Genomic DNA, 806 nt, shown 5'->3' on the forward strand with positions numbered 1-806 from the left:
GCTCATCCCTATAATTCCAAAATTTTAGGAGGCCGAAGCAGGAGGACTGCTTAAGCACAGGAGTTTAAGACAAACCTGGGCAACCTGGTGAGACCCCATCTCTACAATAATAATAATAATAAATTATACAGAATAAATTTTCCTAATAATTGTGCACCTGTACAATAATTGGGAATGGTGGTGTGTACCTGTAGTTCCAACTACTGGGGAGGTTGGGGTAGGATGATCTCTTGAGCCCAGGAGGTTGAGGCTGCACTGAACCAACTTGGAACCACTACATTCCAGCCTGGGTGACAGAGCATGACTCTGTCTCTAAAATAATGAAGAAATAAATAATAAAAATTTTGTTACGTTTGGGGGGTCTTGGTTGATCCTATTTAACCAGCTTGCCAGCAATGACATTTCACCTTAAGTTCAATTCATGTCAACAATGAGTTTTAGACACTTTCTGATGTTCAGGCAGTTTATTCTGGCAGTGCTCTTACAAGATACATAGTGGGAGAAGGCTGGATTCATGGTGCTGATACACTCAAGGGTCAGATGACCAACTGCTTGGGGTCTCCATCTGAGACATTCTCAGAGTTTAGGGAATTTTCCCCCCTTTCATATACCTGTATTTGGTCTGAGTCAGTTATCAGGCATTTCCTTCATTAAAAGATTTTAAGCTATTCTTGTAAAGGTGAACTTTGTTTTAAGGCTCATGAAAGTTGCATCTGTGCTGAGGTGGCCTTGTTTCTAGAGCATCCAGATGTTTTGGGCTGGTGGTCATAGGAACCTAGTAATCCCTGGGCCAGTTTTGAAAATCA

This window comes from Homo sapiens, chromosome 6, assembly GCF_000001405.40.
Source record: "Homo sapiens chromosome 6, GRCh38.p14 Primary Assembly".
Taxonomy (NCBI): Eukaryota; Metazoa; Chordata; class Mammalia; order Primates; family Hominidae; genus Homo; species Homo sapiens.